Source organism: Homo sapiens, chromosome 10 (assembly GCF_000001405.40).
Source record: "Homo sapiens chromosome 10, GRCh38.p14 Primary Assembly".
Classification (NCBI taxonomy): Eukaryota; Metazoa; Chordata; class Mammalia; order Primates; family Hominidae; genus Homo; species Homo sapiens.
This window is the reverse complement of record NC_000010.11, coordinates 95,563,321-95,581,091: the sequence shown is the minus strand read 5'-3', so window position 1 is coordinate 95,581,091 and position 17,771 is coordinate 95,563,321. Positions and strand designations below refer to the sequence as shown.

At 43.6% G+C, this 17,771-nt stretch overlaps 1 annotated feature.

Annotated features, from left to right (window-relative positions):
* Positions 12,806-13,100: a silencer, noted in NCBI's record as "tiled region #13709; HepG2 Repressive non-DNase unmatched - State 22:ReprW". NCBI's record gives its function as "represses a minimal TATA promoter and a strong SV40 promoter by Sharpr-MPRA in HepG2 cells {active_cell/tissue: HepG2}" and the evidence as "EXISTENCE:reporter gene assay evidence [ECO:0000049][PMID:27701403]".

The following is a 17,771-nucleotide window of genomic DNA, read 5'->3' as shown; positions in this document are numbered from 1 at the left end:
GGTAATATGGGAGGGATTGCTATGCATTTTATGGGGACGTAACAACTTATGGATGCCAATGGGTACAAAATCCATGTCAAGTAAGGAAACTTTGGAGGAGCTGGAGTTGATTAGTCTGGATGAGAGAAAGTTGGGACATTGGATAGCTGAAGCACAGACATAGAAGAAACAATAATCTCCTGAGTTGTTCCAGAGAGATCAGTTGGTGCAAATGACAGGGAAGTGGATTATAATTCAGTCTTGGGACTGAACTTCAATTAAGGCTTTCTGAAAATGGATGAGCTGCTACATGCTGTAGAAGCTCCCCATCACCGAAAGTGTCCAAACCAAGGTCCCATCATTCATTCATTGATTCATTCATTCATTGATTCATTCATTCATTCCTACAAATTTTTGTGGAAGATCCACAATATGTTATCTCTGTTCTAGGGACTGGGGTACAAAAGGCAACAAGACAAGCACTCCTTCCTGGAGGTTTTAGTGGGGACAAACAAGGATAGAGACAAATAATTACACAAATTACTTGTAAACCATGACGTGTTCTATAAAGGAAATGAACAAGGGTCTGAGATAAGAAATAAGGGAGGGAACTGGAGTTGATCCTGTTGGTTGATGCTCTGCTGAGGTTTTCTTGAATCGCTTTTGCAGTTTTGATGTACTGGTTCCCCAGCTTCTGTGTGCTTTTATTTTTAAGGGCTGGGCACATACAGCTTTGTTCCAAGGGTAGCCCTTCAGCTACCAGAGCTCTTTGCTTACATGCACAGAAAGCCTCCTTAGCCAAGCACTCAGCTAGTCAGGTGAAGGCACGAAAGCCCAGCCCCATTATGTTTAGGAGGAACAAGTTCTGGCTGCAATTTATTCTGCAGTTTTCCTGAGGAATCAGGCTGAGGCTGGGTCTGGGCCTGAAATCCAGGCTTCCAGACTTTTCCTTGCCTGATGTATTCCACTTCCCTGTCCAGCTTTCCCTACTTTCTTACCAGTTTCTGCCTGGGGCTCTTTTTAAATAAAACACTTGCTCATGAATTTCTGTGTCAGGGTCTGCTTCTGGGAACCCAGCCTAGGATAGAGAGAGAGTCATGATCTGATTTACATTTTTAGAAAGTACCCTGGTTCCTGGGGAAGAATAGCCAGTAAGTCTATTAGGGACTAGCTGCCTATGTGTGGGGTGAAGGAGGCTTACTCTAGGAGAGTGCCAATGGTGCTAGCAGGAGAGGAGAGATCTAAGATCTTTTTTGAAGATAGAAACAAGGTTTGCTTGGGAGTGGCCGAAGGAAAGGGAGGAATCCAGGATATCCCCTAGATTAGACGAGGACATGTAGAGGTGTTTTCCACAGAAATCCCCTCATTGGTGGGAAGTAGAACTAGGTGACTTCAAAGGCCATGTATCCATTTGAAAATCCATCTGCAATGGCTGGATTCAGCAACCCAAAAAAAGGTAGGAGCTAGAGGTGGTTACACATGAGAACAAACATGAACACAGAGGACATACATATAGGCTGGCAGATAGCTTGCAAAAATCATTAAAGTTGCCCAAATTCCTTTTGAGTTATCTAATGGGGTGTTCCTATTTTCTGCTCCTACAGTGCCCCACCCACTTGAATCCAGGCATGCCTGCCTTGGTGAAATGTGCTGGGCTTTTCTCTAGGTGGGAGCGTCAGTGTGAGACTCATGCTGATCTTCTTGGCTTGGCTATCTTATGCTCTCAGTGACTACTTTTCTTTTCAAAAGAACAGGTGCTAAGCTTTATTATCACTATCATCATTATTATTGCTAGCATTTACCAAGCACTCACTAAGTGCCAAGTACTTTGCACATATAATCTCACTTAACCATCACAACAACTTTTATATTCCCCCTTCTGGGGTTGAGCCATCATGGCTTAGCCATTTGCCCAAAGCCAAATAGCCAGAGAGTGATTGAGTGGGGTTTTGAACCAGAAGTCCCATACTAGATCCCAAGTTCTCAACCAGTGTGATAAACTGACTAAAAAGAGTAAATGCTCTCAGAGGAGCCTGTGGACTTCCTCCATCTACATAAAACTCCAGCCCCTCATGGCTACTGGGCTTCAGGGCAGTAGTGCTGGGCTCTCACTTTCCCACCCTCCAGATTCTCTGAGCAGACACACCCACTGCCCACTGTCCCCACCCAGTCTGTCATCCCAGTTCTTCATAGCATCTGTCTTGCTCTGCTCCACAAAACAGGGCACCCTCTTACCACTCTGGTGTCTTTCTTAGTTCCTAGTGTACGGTACCAGCTCTTAAGGAGTCAGCACCCTGTGTGGCTTGAGAATTTCCTTAGAGGTGACTCCAAAGTGATTGTTGCAGGGCAAGTTGGATCCATTCCACCATGTTCATCAATACCTGCTTCATGTGTTTGGTAATGAGGGGAGAAGTGGTTGACAATGTCCTTGACTGCCGAGAACTCACACTTAATGTCAAACATGTCATACAGGTGACACATATCTAGAAAGGTATTTCCAGTAGCCTTATATCCCCCCTTCTCTGGAGACTTCAAGGGCCTTTTCTAGTTTAAGAGGGGATCCTCAAAGCCAGGAAAACTTCATGCCACAGGTGAAAGCCTAATAGTCTGAAAGTAAAGGATCGGTTAGCTCACTAATTTAATCCACATCGTGAAACATTCTTGTAGACTTTAAAAAAAAAAAAAGAAGAAAAATCCTGAATTACGTAGTTTCATACTATGTTGTTAAGTGGAAAAGAAAGGCAATATAATATTTTGCACACTATGATCCCATTTACATGAAAAAAGTAAATCGTGTGTATGGTTAATAGTGATTATCTTGAAATAGTGAAGTTTCTGATGATTTTTGTTTTCTTCATTGTGGTTGGCTTTCAATTTTTGATTTAAAAAATAAATGATTCAGGAGCCTATCTGAAAAGACACACTGTGTGATTCCAAGTATGTGACATTCTGGAAAAGGCAAAACTGGAGAAAGTGGAAAGATCAGTGGTTTCCAGGTGTTTGGGTGGAAGGAGGGATGAATAGGTGGCACACGGAGGATTTTTAGGGCAGTGAAACTACTCTGTATGACACTCTTATAGTGGATCTATGTCATTATACATTTGTCAAAATCCATAGAATGCATAATACAAAGAGTGAATCCTAATGAAAACTGTGGACTTTAGCTAATAATAAGGTATCAGTATTGGCTCATCGGTTGTAACAAATGACCCACAGTAATGCAAGATGGTAATAATAGAGGAAACTGTGAGGTGGGAATTTAAGAAGAAACTCCCTGTACTTTCTGCTCAACTTTTCTGTAAACCTAAAACTTCTCTAAAAAATGAATACTACTAATTTAAAAAATAATGATGTCTATATTTCAAACATGCAGAAAAATACAGACTATAAAGAACACATTTATTCATCACAGATTTAATACATTTTAAGGTTTTGCTATATTTGTTTTAAATCCTTTTAAAAGAAATAGCAGGCTGGGCGCAGTGGCTCACACCTGTCATCCCAGCATTTTGGGAAGCCAGGGTGGAGGATCTCTTGAACTCAGGAGTTCAAAACTAGCCTGGGCAACATGGCGAAACCCTGTCTCTACAAAAAATACAAAAATTAACCTGGCGTGGTGGTGCATGCCTGTAACCCCAGCTACTCAGGAAGCTGAGGTGGGAGGATGGCTTGAGACTAGCAGGCAGAGGTTGCAGTGAGCCAAGGTCATGCTACTGTACTCCAGCCTGAGAGATAGAGCCAGACCTTGTTTCAAAAAAAAAAAAAAAACCCAAAAAACAAATTATAGAAACAATCAAAGCTCCTTTATACTCCTCCTTAATTTCAACCTGTTTCCTCTTTCCCTGCAGAAAATTTTTCCCATACATTTTCTATACTTTTTTTTTTTTTTTTTTTTTTTTGAGACAGAGTCTCGCTCTGTCGCCCAGGCTGGAGTGCAGTGGCGCAATCTCGGCTTACCGCAAGCTCCACCTCCCAGGTTCATGCCATTCTCCTGCCTCAGCCTCCCAAGTAGCTAGGACTACAGGCGCCCGCCACCACGCCCGGCTAATATTTTTGTATTTTTAGTAGAGACAGGGTTTCACTGTGTTAGTCAGGATGGTCTCGATCTCCTGACCTCATGATCCGCCTGCCTTGGCTTTCCAAAGTGCTAGGATTACAGGCGTGAGCCACTGTGCAGGCCTCTATACTTTTTACATGTAAGTCAACATAAACAATGTATAATATTGTTTCAGATTTTTTTTTTTTTTTGAGATAGAGTTGCCATTTTGCCCAGGCTGGAGTGCAGTGGCACAATCATGGCTCACTGCAGCCTCTGTCTCTCAGGCTAAAGCAATCCTCCCACCTCAGCCTCTGGAGTAGCTGTGACTACACCAGCTAAATTTTATATTTTGGTAGAGACAGAGTTTTGCCATGTTGCCCAGGCTGATCTCAAACTCCTGGGCTCAAGCGATCCATAGGCCTTGGCCTTGAAAAGTGCTGGGACTACAGATGTGAGCCACTGCTTCTGGCATTAGAGCTTTTAACTTCTCAAAAATGACATTGAATTATATATTAATACCTGGCTCTGCAAATTACCTTTTTATTAACCTTATATTAACAATTATTTGTGTTGCTACATGAAGCTCTAGTTTATTCATTTTAACGGCTATATAGTATTCCATTTCATAAAAATACTACAGAAAAAGGTTTTAAAATAATGTTTTGTGGTTTTTTTTGTTACCTTCTTCCCCTGAAATACCACAGTAAAATAATGTTTTGGAATATATCTTAACAATATGAGGAAATATGATATTAAATGAAATAAACAAGATGTAGAATGTTATTTACAGTATGACACAAAACACATATATGCAAAGTAAAATACTATAACAACAAATTATAAAATGTTAGCAAGCAATGCTTTTTTTTTTTGAGACAGAGCTTTGCTTTTGTTGCCCAGACTGGAGTGCAATGGTGCGATCTCGGATCACTGCAACCTCTGCCTCCCAGATTCAAGTGATCCTCCTGCCTCAGCCTCGCGAGTAGCTGGGACTACTGGCGTGCACCACCACACTCGGCTAATTTTTTGGTATTTTTAGTAGAAACGGGGTTTCACCATGTTGGCCAGGCTGGTCTCGAACTCCTGACCTCAGGTGATCCAGTCACCTTGGGCTCCCAAAGTGTTAGGATTATAGGCATAAGCCACTGTGCCCGGCCACTTTTTTTTTTTTTTTTTTTTTTTTTTTTTTTTATACAGGGTCTTGCCCTGTTGCCCAGGCTATAGTGCAGGGCACTAGCATGGTTCACTGCAGCCTTGAACTCCTGGGCTGAAGAGATCCTTCCATCTCAGCCTCCTGAGTAGCTGAGGCTGCAGGTGCATGTCACCATGCCTGGCTATTTACTTTTATTTACTTCTATAGAGACAGACAGGGTCTCACTGTGCTGCCTGGGCTGGTCCTCAATGCCTGGCCTCAAGCCATCCTTCCACCTTGGCCTCTCAAAGTGCCGAGATTACAGGTATAAGCCACCATACCAGCAACAATGCTATTTTTGGATTGTGGGATTATAGACACTTTCCCATATTTCCTAAACCTTGTACAATGAATAAGCATTGATTTTATAATTTCTTAAAAGTTACAAATAAAAGCATGCAGTACTACTGAAACTGGAGTTTGAGCTATGTAATCTGTGAAATTATCACGTCCCTCTTCACCACCATTGGCAGAGCCCCTCCATAATCTCTAAATAGCCCCACCCTACTTCTGCCCAGGGGTCTCTCAGGGGCAGCAGCTGCCTCTACAGTTCCCATATCTCCCTGGTCTCTCTGTGGCACTTTGGGTTGGTTTTTCTGATGCCTGATACCCGCAGCACAATTGCAGGATTGGCTATAATTATGCCTGCAGTGATATTATGGGATTGGATATAAATATTCTTGCTACATGTGAACAGGGTTTATTTCTGTCCACAGTTTACCATCTGGTTGCAGCACACCCTTTTCTAGCTGGGACAGAGGGAGAAGAGCACTTTTCAATCCAGAGGTGAAACGGGAGTTGGATTAGAGGTTTTAAGTAATCAGCTTCTGAAAAATCATCTCAACATGTGTGATGCTGATGGGGCCATCGTGTCAGGAATCACAGGAAAGAGGCAGAAGTTCGTATCAGGTTTATATTGCACCTAACGTAGAGCGGACAGGCAAAGAGATCTCCATTTTTGTCCCTGCTCTGAGCTCGGCATAAAGCTCAGTCAGGCTGGCTCAGACCTTCCTAAGTCACAGTGCTCCTGTGGAGGTGACGCTCCCCTGTGCACAGAGGTATCCACATCTCAACCTTCTGTCTTGATCTCCCTCTCCAGGTCAAGTCCTACATTTTCTCCTGCCTGCTGGATAGTTCCATCTGCCCGCCCTGCTGTACCGTCAAACTAGATTCGGAATTATTTGTTCTTAGATGCCCAAACTAGTTCTTTCTCCTGACTTTGCTATTTCTCTTAACAGCAACACCATGGTCTTTGGTCACCTTCAGCTAGGACCTGGTATTCCAGCAGAAGGCAAGCCGTGCCACACCTTCCTTGATGAACTTAGTGGCTGATCTAGTAGAGTTCCTGGTTGTCAGTGATTAACAAATGCTTGTTGGATGAATGAATGAGTTGATGAATGAAATGTCTCTTCCTTTCCATTCCTCATCGTCACCTCCCTCATTCCAGCCCTTATTACTTCACACATGGACCATTGCAGCAACCTCTCAACTGGTTGTTCTGCCTCTGATCTTTCTCAGCTCCAGTTCCTCCTGCTCCTGCCACGAGGCAGGTTGTCCTTATGTATGACCTGCATCTCACCAGTTCCCTGTTTAAAAACCTTGGTGACTCCTCACCGGCTACCACATAAATTCAAAGTCATGAGCTTAGCTTTCAAAGCCACTGCACTCCAGCCCCAATTAATATCTCTAGCGTGTGACTAAAATTACTCACATTCCTGACCCTGTTTCTATTCTCACACATCTTTCACTTGACCATCTCTGTGGCTACGCTCAGGCCATTCTCTTAGTTTGAACTGATGTTGCCATTTCCATCTGTTCTCCAAACCTTCCCATCTTTCAGAACCCAGCTTACATTCCTTCCCTTCCACCAAGTTTGCTCAGGTTATCCCACCCCTGAATTCTTGGCCTAGGACTTACTGTCTATGCTATTGTTGGAAAATTAATCATGTTCTGCCTTGTGCCATGTTTAAATAAACTTATTGTTTATTCCTTGTTTTTGTTTTACCCTTTTCTATGCTTGTCTTAGTTTTCTAACTAGATCATACAATCCTTGCAGGGGAGACTGTGCTGTCTTAGGGACATTTTTGTTTGGGTGCTTTTGTGCTTTATCCATCCCCTCCTCCATGTCCATTTCCCACCGTGACGTGTGACCTGGACCAGACATTCATAGTACCCAATCCCCTTGTCACATTGATTATTCCAGGGATGACTCATCATGGTCCATGATCCCAACTCATCCAACCCTGGTCTTTTCCCAGTATTTGTCTCATTGAAGCTAGTGGGGAAAGACATCTCACCTCTGGGTTCCCAGAAGTGGAAAAGTATGAATCTGGGACCACCAAGTTCGCCTTCAAGTGGAAAAAGGTGGAGGTATCCTGGATTGCAGTAGGAGAGGATAGGGCCAACACCCAAAGAAAGGCAGTCAGAACTGAAAAGAGAGAGCTCTGACAATGGCTCTTGGATTGCTGGATCAGATTTTGCCTAAAGCTGGATTTACCCTTAACATTTTAATTACCAAGCCAGCAAATATCCTATAGAGGCTAATACACCTTACTGAATGAAAAAAAAGGGGGGGGGGCTTTTTAAGTTGATTACATATGTGCCATTTTATTACTTTATGTATTTTTATTAAAATTTTCTGAGGATAAGTGTGCTGTTAATAATTTTAGACAGTTTTGAGTGCAGAAAAGTTTAAAGAAAAAAACGATAATCATCCATATCCCCACCAGCCAAAGTTACTGCTGTCTACATTTGGCATGCTTTTTAAAATTTAATCCTTTTTTCTATGTATATTTTTTGTAAAGCAATGTCATTGTACTGTATGTTTGGTTTTATATTCTGCTTTTCTTTCTAATCACTATATTGTAAGTAGTTCAGCATTCACTGTTTTATAAACTAGTCTTCAAGTTGTTTATGTTTTTCTCTTAAAACTGTTTTTATTTTTTTTAACATTTGAAGAAGGGGCTAAGATGAGAGAGAGAGGGAGGGAGGGAGGGAGGGATTGAGGGAAAGATGAGACAGTTGCCAAGGAGAATACGTGAGAGAGAGAAAGAAAAGAAAGCAGAGATGACCCTTGTTTGCTTTCTTAGAAGTCCGTATTTTATGCTGTCTGGTTCCAGAGAAGATTTAAGGTACTATTGTCCTTGTAGCCTTAGAACAGCTCTCCGGTTTCTTTTTCAGTGGTGGTGGCTGCAGTGGCGGCTGTTGTTCCGAGTGTCTGTCCCCCTGAGGCTGAGCCAGAGCCGGCTTCTGCAGGCTGCAATTCAAGATGGCCAATTCGCAATCCTAGCAAAATCAATCTATTGGAAACTAATGAGGCACAAATAGTTCATGCACTTTGAGGCTGATCTGCCAAATGAGATAAACAGGGCTCAATCAGCAGGGAAAATCAGTGATGCAAAAATTCATTTCAATCTAGCATTATTTCCCCCTGGGATGCCCACGACATCACATTCTATTGTTTTGATGCTTCTGTGGCAATTCTTGTCTAAGCTTCTGTAGACCAGGCCAGGAGAACTCCCTCACTCAGGGTTTTATGCTTCCAGAGGCTGGTAAATGCCAAGATTTGATGGCTAAGACTGGGAGGTCTGGGCAGCCAATATGTGCAAGAAGCAAAGATTTTCTGTTTTGTAAACAACACTAACCTCTGTTTCTAAACCATTTTCTGTATTAGGCAATGTGATTAGCAAATAATATGATTATGAACTTTGTAAAAGAGCAAATCACAAAAGTATTATACAATTAATTCACATTTATAACACATATAGAGTAATATTTTTAAAATCCTATCATTTTTGTGCCACTAAGTTTATTTTTCCTTAAATGTTATACTAGCAAGATATGATCATTGCAAAAAATTTAAAAAGTACTGATGAGCAAAAATAAAAAAATTAAGTCATCTGTATTTTTTTATTTTTTATTTTTGGAGACAGAATCTTGCTCTGTCACCCAGGCTGGAGTGCAGTGGTGCAATCTCGGCTCACTGCAACCTCCACCTCCCAGGTTTAAGTGATTCTTGTGCCTCAGCCTCCCAAGTAGCTGTGATTACAGGCATGCACCACTACAGCCGGCTAACGTTTGTATTTTTAGCAGAGACATGGGTTTCACCAGGTTGGCCAGGCTGGTCTTGAACTCCCGAGTTCAGACAATCTGCCCTCCTTGGCCTCCCAAAGTACTAGGATTATAGGTGTGAGCCACCGCACCCGGCCTCTATTATATGTATTTTTAGAAATAGAGTTCTGCTCTCTTTCCCAGGCTGGGGTGCAGTGGTACAATCATAGCTCACTGCAGCCTTGCACTCCTGGGCTCAAGCAATCCTCCCACTCAGCCTCCCAAAGAGTTGGGACTACAGGCTTGTGCAACTATGCCTGGCCAATTTTTTTTTTTTTTTTTTTTGTAGGCACAGGGTCTTGCTATATTGTCATGCTAGTCTTGAATTCCCTGCCTCAAGTAATCCTCCACCCTCAGTCTCCTAAGGCGCTAGGGTTACAGGTGTAAGCCACCACACCTAGCCCCTCATCTCTATTAAATTTCATTTATGCTTGCCAAATTTCTTTCCATGCAGAATTATTTAAAAAATAAGATCATGTGATTCATGCTGTTGTATAACCTACTTAAAAAAATTGTAAAATATTGGAGTTGCCTATTCTATAATAAAGAGGCCTTTTCTGCTGTCATAATGTTGCTTGGATGGGTAAAGCCTCTGTGGATGCCCTGTGTGTTCAGAAGCCCACTTGCTTCTTCAGAGGCCTGATTAGAATAGATGGTTTGGCTCAGAAAAGTGGGGAAGGAATCAGGAAACACCAAGTCTGATCCTAGATAAGGAGTGTCCTGCTGAAACTGGGTCCCAGGCAAGGAGCTAAGTCTGACAGGCCTAATCAGTCAGCTAGCTCCACCACAACCACTGGGGATAAATGTCCACCCACTTTCCCCTATGGGGTCATCAGGTGAAACCCAAGGATGGCCAGCAAACTGAGGTTTGAGATCCAAGGCCCAGCCTAACAGAGAAGATGCAGGGTGAGGCCATGCTGGGGTCCTGTAGAACCTGTGGGGAATGTGAAATCATTGACCCATCACAGATCCTTTCCTTGAGAGTGAAGACTGAATCAATTTGTACTAGCCTCAGTGCCCGGTAGAGGAGAAATTCAGTAAATATTTGTAGAATACAGGAATGATTGTTTTACTTCTTCCTAATTATCCTTCTAGTTTTGGCTCAGATATTATCTCCTCCAGGAAGGAAGGCTTCCCTAAGCAACCACCCCTTTATTCATCATTTCTACCCTCATTCTTGGATAAATGCTCTCCACTGAGACTCATACAACTCAACAGTCAAAAGACGAATAATCCAGCTAAAAAGGCAAAAGATTTGAATGGACATATCTTCAGAGAAGATATACAAGTGGCCAATAAGTATATGAAAAGATGCTCAACAACATTGATCATTAGAGAAATGCAAATCAAAACCACAATAAGAAGCCAGGCAGGGTGGTGAGTGCTTGTAGTCCCAACTACTCCGAAGGCTGAGGCGGGAGGATCACTTGAGGCCAGGAGTTTGAGATTGCAATGTGCTATGATTACATCTGTGAATAGCTATTGCACTCCAACCTAGGCAGCATAGAGAGACCCTGTCTCTAATAAAAATAAAAGAAAAATAAAAAAGATACAAACCAACCAGAATGAGATACCACTTTATACCTGCTGAGATGACTATAATAAAAATTACACACAATAACAAGTATTGGTGGGGATTTGGAGAAATTGCAACTCATACATTGCTGGCGTGAATGTAAAATGGTGCAGCTGCTTTGGAAAACAGTCTGGCAGTTCTTCCAAAACTTAAACATAGAGTTCGCATATGAGCCAACAACTCTACTCCTAGGTATACACACAAGAAACTTGAAAACATATGTTCATACAAAAACTTGTACATAAATGTTCATAGCAGCATTATTCATAGCAGCCAAAAAGTAGAAACAACCCCAAATGTCTATCAGCTGAGGAACGGATAAATAAATTGTGGTATATATGTACAATGGAATATTATTCAGCCATAAAAAGGGGCAAAATGCTGATACATGCTACAACAAGGATGAACCTTGAAAACATTATGCTAAATGAATGAGGCCAGATGCAAAAGGCCACATATAGTATGGTTCCATTTATATGAGATGTCCAGAATAGGCAAATCTATAGAGATGGAAAGTACATTAGTTATCACCAGGGATTAGGGGAGAAGGAAAATGGGGAGTGACTGCTAATAGATATAACTTTTTGTGCATGTGGTGATGAAATACTCTAGAATTTCATTGTGGTGATGGTTGCACAATCTTATGACTATACTAAAAACTGCTGGATTATACACTTTAAAAAGATAAATTTCATGTATGTGAATTGTATCTCAAAGAAAGAGAAGAGTCTGTTTATCACATTGTCTTGTGATTGACTGTATATTTGTTGGTCTTTTCACTCAATTGTGTCTTCAGGATAGGGTCCTTATTTTCTGGTTCTCCAACACTGAGACCTGGAACACAATAGGCCCATGATGTTGGTTAACTGAACAGTTTGAGAGTTCTCTTTCTACAATCCCAGGGCCACCTGTCTGGCTGCTCCCCACCCTCTGAGAACTATTTGGGAGTTAACAGCCCTAGTCCGGGTATAACATCCTCTGGAATCAAAAAGTAGGCCCCATCTACCCAGCAGCCTATGGTTTGTATACCAACTGGGGGAACCACGTTGTTTAACGTATTGAGCCTTGTCAATAGAGGCCACACCAAGCCCAAGTAAAGGGGCTGCCACTGACCCCTTGGGAGTCCTTACTTTGCTCCTGTTGGAGGATTCACTGTGAATAACACTTCTTCTCTGGAGGAGGCAGCTTGGGCTGCAACAGGTTCTGGAAACCTGGTTCTAGCATGCTCTCTGTTTCTGCTCTACTTCTCCTTCAAGGTCAAATGAAGAAGTCCTTGGTTCTTTTGGCCTAAGGGAGGAGATAGGTATGTCTGTCCCATTCTCCCATCTACAAAGTCCAGTTGCCCTCACTCCCTTTGGCTGTAGGACATGGTTCTTTCAGAATATCTATTTTTTACAAACTGAGCCACAGAAACAGGTAGGTCATGCAAGCATGGCTTAGATTTGTCCATTTAAAGAGGGTTCCAAACATCCCTGGAAACAGAGGACTTTCCCAGGCCTCCTCTGAGAGACAGCCTATGTACACTTGAATGAACCACTTGGTTCAGACAGTTGGGTGAGCAGGTGGTAAGATCCCTATGGGGCATGGCCAGGTGACCAGAGATGGTTACTAAACTGCCCTTCAAGAAAGTGGGTCGAGGTAACTCAAGGTTTAGGCTTTGCTGAGAGGGGGCAGGCAAAGCAAGTTCGGGGACAGGACAGACTTGCTGAGGTAATGGAGAAGGGGTTGATACCCAATGCGCAGTCCAGCCACCTTCACTTCTGCCCTCCTCCACTCCCCCCAGCACTCTGCATCTCCACTTGAGAAACGCTGAAGAAGTGGAATTAGCCTTCCCAGGGCACCCCTGTGACTTGATTTGGTCCTGTGTAATGAGTTCCCTCAGTGAACTGTTCCAATCACCTCTGACAAGCTTCCAGCAGCTTCCAGAACATCAGTTATTCTGTTAACACCATTGTCGTTGATTTTTTAACCTTGTTAGGGTTATATTAGTGAGCCTAGTTGCTCTGTTTCTGAAGCTGCAGTTTTTTTCTCTCAGTCCATCAAGATGATCTCACTTTCTCTGGCTCTCTCCCAATTTCCCTGTGCCACCTTCTTCTTCCTCCTCTCTCTCTCCTTATTCCTCTTTCCTGGCACCTCTCCTCATCTCTTCAGTCTCAATCACAATGCCTCTCTTAGAGTTATCAGCTGTATCCTCCAACCTAAAAATGGTTTTCTCAAGTAAACACTTCATTAATGTAATTACTTTAGAGTAGGAAGCCTTCTAAGGTAAACTCAGCATGTTCTAACCAATAAATCCCCTGCCCCAGTCAGAAAAAAAAACTGATCTCTCAGCAGCTGCCTTCAGATTGGCACCTTGTGTTACCCTCTCCCAAACCCCAACCTTCCATTGACACAGTAGAAGTTGACAGAAGTGTATTCTGTACTTGTAATTTCTCTCAAAGGTCCATTGAGGTCAACTTCCTTCTTTCCCCTTCCCTCTTTCCTTCCTTCCTTCCTCCCCTCCCCTCTCCTCCCTTCTTGTCCCCTCCCCTCTGCTCCCCCCTCCCCTCTCCTCTCCCCTCCCCTCTTTTCTCCTCCCCTCCCATCCCCTCCCTCCCTTCCTTCCTTCTTTTCTTCTTCTTTTTTACAGGATTTTGCTTGCCTGCCTGCCTGCCTGCCATCCTTCTTCCCTCCCTCCCTCCCTCTCTCCCTCCCTCCCTCTTTTCTTCTTTTTTTAAAGGATTTTGCTCTGTTGCCCAGGCTGGAGTGCAGCGATGTGATCATGGCTCACTGGAGGCTGGAACTTCTGGGCTCAAGGTATCCTCCTGTCTGAGCCTCCCGAGTAGCTAGGACTACAGGTACACACTACCATGCCCAGCTAATATCTATGTATTTTTTTTTTTGAGACACAGTCTCACTCTGTTGCCCAGGCTGGAGTGCAGTGGCACGATCTCGGCTTACTGCAACCTCCATTTCCTGGGTTCAAGCAATTCTCTTTCCTCAGCCTCCCGAGTAGCTGGGATTACAGGCACCTGCCACAACACCTGCATAATTTTTGTATTTTTAGTAGAGGTGGGGTTTCGCTGTGTTGGCCAGGCTGGTCTCATCTCAAACTCCTAGCCTCAAGTGATTCACCCGCCTCACCCTCCCAAAGTGCTGAGATTATAAGTGTGAGCCACCATGCCTGGCCTTGCCCAGTTAATTTTTAAAAATTTATTTGTGGAGATAGAGTCTTGCTATGTTGCCCAGGCTGGTCTCAAACTCCTGGCCTCAAGTGATCCTCCTGCCTCAGCCTCCCAAAGCACTGAGATTATAGGAATGAGCCACTGTGCCTGGTCAGGCCAACATTTTAAATGTCTTTATTTTGACTATCTAATAGCATAAAATAATCTCCAAGCCAAACCTTGGATATTTGGTCAAATACAGTACAATATTTGGGGTGCTATTATGTGTACAAGTTTTCTCCCAAGCAACAACACAAGACACACTGGAGCAAGTGTTTTTATTTTTATTACCTTTTAGATACAGCATCTTGCTCTGTTATCCAGGCTGGAGTGCAGTGGTGCAATCATAGCTCACTATAACCTCAAACTCCTAGGATCAAGTGACCTCCCAACTCAGCCTCCCAAAGCACTGGGATTACAGGCGCGCACCAGTGTGCCAGCCAGAGCCAGTGTTTATAGATTGATAAACAGAGGCCCTGTGACCAGAGTCCTGGGGTTACTCATACTCATCCTATCCCTGCTTCCCAAGCACAGCAATCCCTCCTACTCCTCTGGGTTTCTACCTGGCCCCATAGACTTCTCTTGATCAACCTCCACCATTTCACCAAACTTCCCTAAAGCATTGTCCACCAGCATTGACCTCTAAGGAATGTGGAATTCTTGGCTCGGGCGTTCCATCATCTTCAAATCAGTTCCGTGCCCTGAGGCACGCGTTTGTAGATTTACTTTTTTCTCAGTAATTAATCAGTAAGAAACAAGACAATCAGTTATTAAGGAGTTTTGCTCTTTCCACTACTTGCTTCGCTTTCTGTAAGATGCTACAGAAGGCATTAGACAAAAATCATCAAGGGGTGTTTGGTGATACAGCAGCAAAACTCTTTGATTCATAACTCTCTTTCTCTCATTTGGTTTTCTTCTTTTCTCCTGGCATTCTCCAGCACGGCATCTCTGAAAATGACTATGGTCAATATTTCGGGTAACTGGGAAAACAACTTACCAAAACCAACGTGTTCTAAGAAGTTGTCTTTCTCAACACTGCCTCCTAGTAATGTTAAAATAATATTCACTTATTGATGCTTATGTGTGTCAGGCAGTGTGTAGGCACTATCCATGCACGATCTCATCTTCAGCTTGCAAGTAAACCTATGGAGGGTTGTGTTTTCTCCAGGTTACAGATGAGAGAAGTCTGCACACTAGGCACTGGAGCTAGGATTCTGCCAGGTGTCTCTGGAGCCCGCAGCCTTAACTGTTATGCTACTGCCAGCTCCAGGGCCTCTAGTTTATTTCCCTCTCTCCCAATCTGTGTGGCTCTGAAGATGAAGTAAAGGCTGACGACTCTGGGCTGTCCTCTGAAAAATCCTGCTCCCTCCTTTCCTAATTCCTCACACTTATGACCTGCTTGGGGATGCGTCCCACAGCATGTTTATGATCCTGGTTTGTGTGCATGACTCTCCGCCTGATATTTTAAATTCTCTCCAACAGCGGAAGGACTGCTGGGAATAATCTGATACACATGAAGAGAAAACGAGGAGTTACTAATAAGATTAAATTAAACTTAAGCACATTTTAAACAGCGTGTAAAACACAGGACTAAGCACTGTTTGAGATGAGCAGACACAAGGCACGACCTCATGGAATTTACAATCTGCTGGGGAGAGGAAATGAGGGATAAGACTACACACAAATATACAGGAGTTTATGCCAAATATGGCAAGTTCCATGAGAAAGGAAGAAATGAAGCACTGTAGGGCTGGAAGGCAGGAGTCCTCCCGTTTCCCTGTGGACCCAGGTTTAAGAGAAACGGTGGAGACTGAGACTGGAGAACAGGAAGTTTTACTGTTTTACTCAAGGGTCAGTCACTGATGCACTGACAAGGCCTCAAGGTTCACCCTCCCCAGGACAAGTTACATAATTTACAGGGCTCAGTTCAAAAATTAAAGGCAGGGCCCTTTGTTCAAAAATGAAGAATTTCAAGATGGTGACAGCAGAGCATGTAATCAAGTGTGGGGCCCTCCTCAGCACAGGTTGCATCCACACAGGGCTGGCCCTGCCCAAACGAACCTCCCTGGGCCTCTGATTCCCTAGGGCTCACCTTTGGGAAGTAGGGAGCAAGTATCTCTCTCACCACCTTGTAGCCAGCACCTAGCTCAGGGCCTGCTGCCCAGATGAATCTATGAATGACTGGAGATAGGATGAACTGACACGATTACACCTGATGATTTCTTGGGTTGCTTTCAGCGTTAAAACATTGAAGGACTGGCCAGGTGTGGTGGCTCACGCCTGTAATCCCAGCACTTGGGGAGGCTGAGGGGGGCAGATCGCTTGAGTCCAGGAGTTTGAGACCAGCCTGGCAAAATGGTGAAACTCTGTCTCTACCAAAAATACACAAAATTAGCTGGCCACAGTGGCCCATGTCTGTAGTCCCAGCTACTTGGGAGGGTGAGGCAGGAGGATCCCTTGAGCCCAGAAGATCAAGGCTGCAGTGAGCCGAGATTGCGCCATTGCATTCCAGCCTGGGTGACAGGAATGAGTGAAACCCTGTTTCAAAAACAGAAACAAAAACAAAAACCCAACCCATCGAAAGACCGTGACTTTCAACATTTCTTGGAGGAGACACCTGAGATGAGTCCTGAAGGACAGTAGGATTTTTCTTTTCTTTTCTTTTTTTGAGATGGAGTCTCGCTCTGTCGCCAGGCTGGAGTGCAGTGGTGTGGTCTTGGCTCACTGCAACCTCCACCTCCTGGGTTCAAGCGATTCTCCTGCCTCAGCCTCCCGAGTAGCTGAGATTACAGGTGCGTGCCACCACGCCTGGCTAATTTTTTGTATTTTTAGTAGAGATGGGGTTTCACCATGTTGGCCAGGCTGGTCTCGAACTCCTGACCTCGTGATCCGCCTGCCTCGGCCTCCCAAAGTGCTGGGATTACTGGCGTGAGCCACTGCGCCTGGCCACCAGTAGGATTTTTCTTTCTGTTTTTTCCACTTTCCTTCTTTCTTGACTTTCCACTATTTTACCATTTCTTTCATAAATCCTAATGGCAATGTTATGCCTTACAGTGAGACATGCAACAGTGACACAGACTGGAAACAGCAGAGAGGTTCAATATTTGAGGGATGACCTGAAGCCTTAGGCCTCCCTTAAGATTCCTTGAGATAGTGTAGATGAAATCTTCATTGATAGAGTCTGGTTTTTCATCTTAAAATTATTTTATTTTCACTGGACAAGTTGGTAGATGTTTATGAAGAAAAAAATCAGAAGACTATGGATGAGCAAAAATAATTACTTGCAATCCCATAAGAATAGTTCTAATGGGATTGCAGTATAAAACTAGTTTTCTACCTATTTTTCCATTCAATAATCTGAGCATCTTTTTTTTTTTTCTTTTTTTTGAGATGGAGTCTTATTCTGTTGCCCAGGCTGTAGTGCAGTGGCACGATCTTGGCTCACTGCAACCTCCGCCTCCCAGGCTCAGGCAATTCTCCTGCCTCAGCCTCCCACAGGTGCACGCCACCATGCCCAGCTAATTTTGGATTCTTTAGTAGAGATGGGGTTTCACCATGTTTCCCAGGCTGGTCTCAAACTCCTGAGCTCAGGTGATCCACCGCTGCCCACCTTGGCCTCCTAGAGTGCTGGGATTACAGGCGTGAGCCACCACTCCCAGCCTATTATGAGCA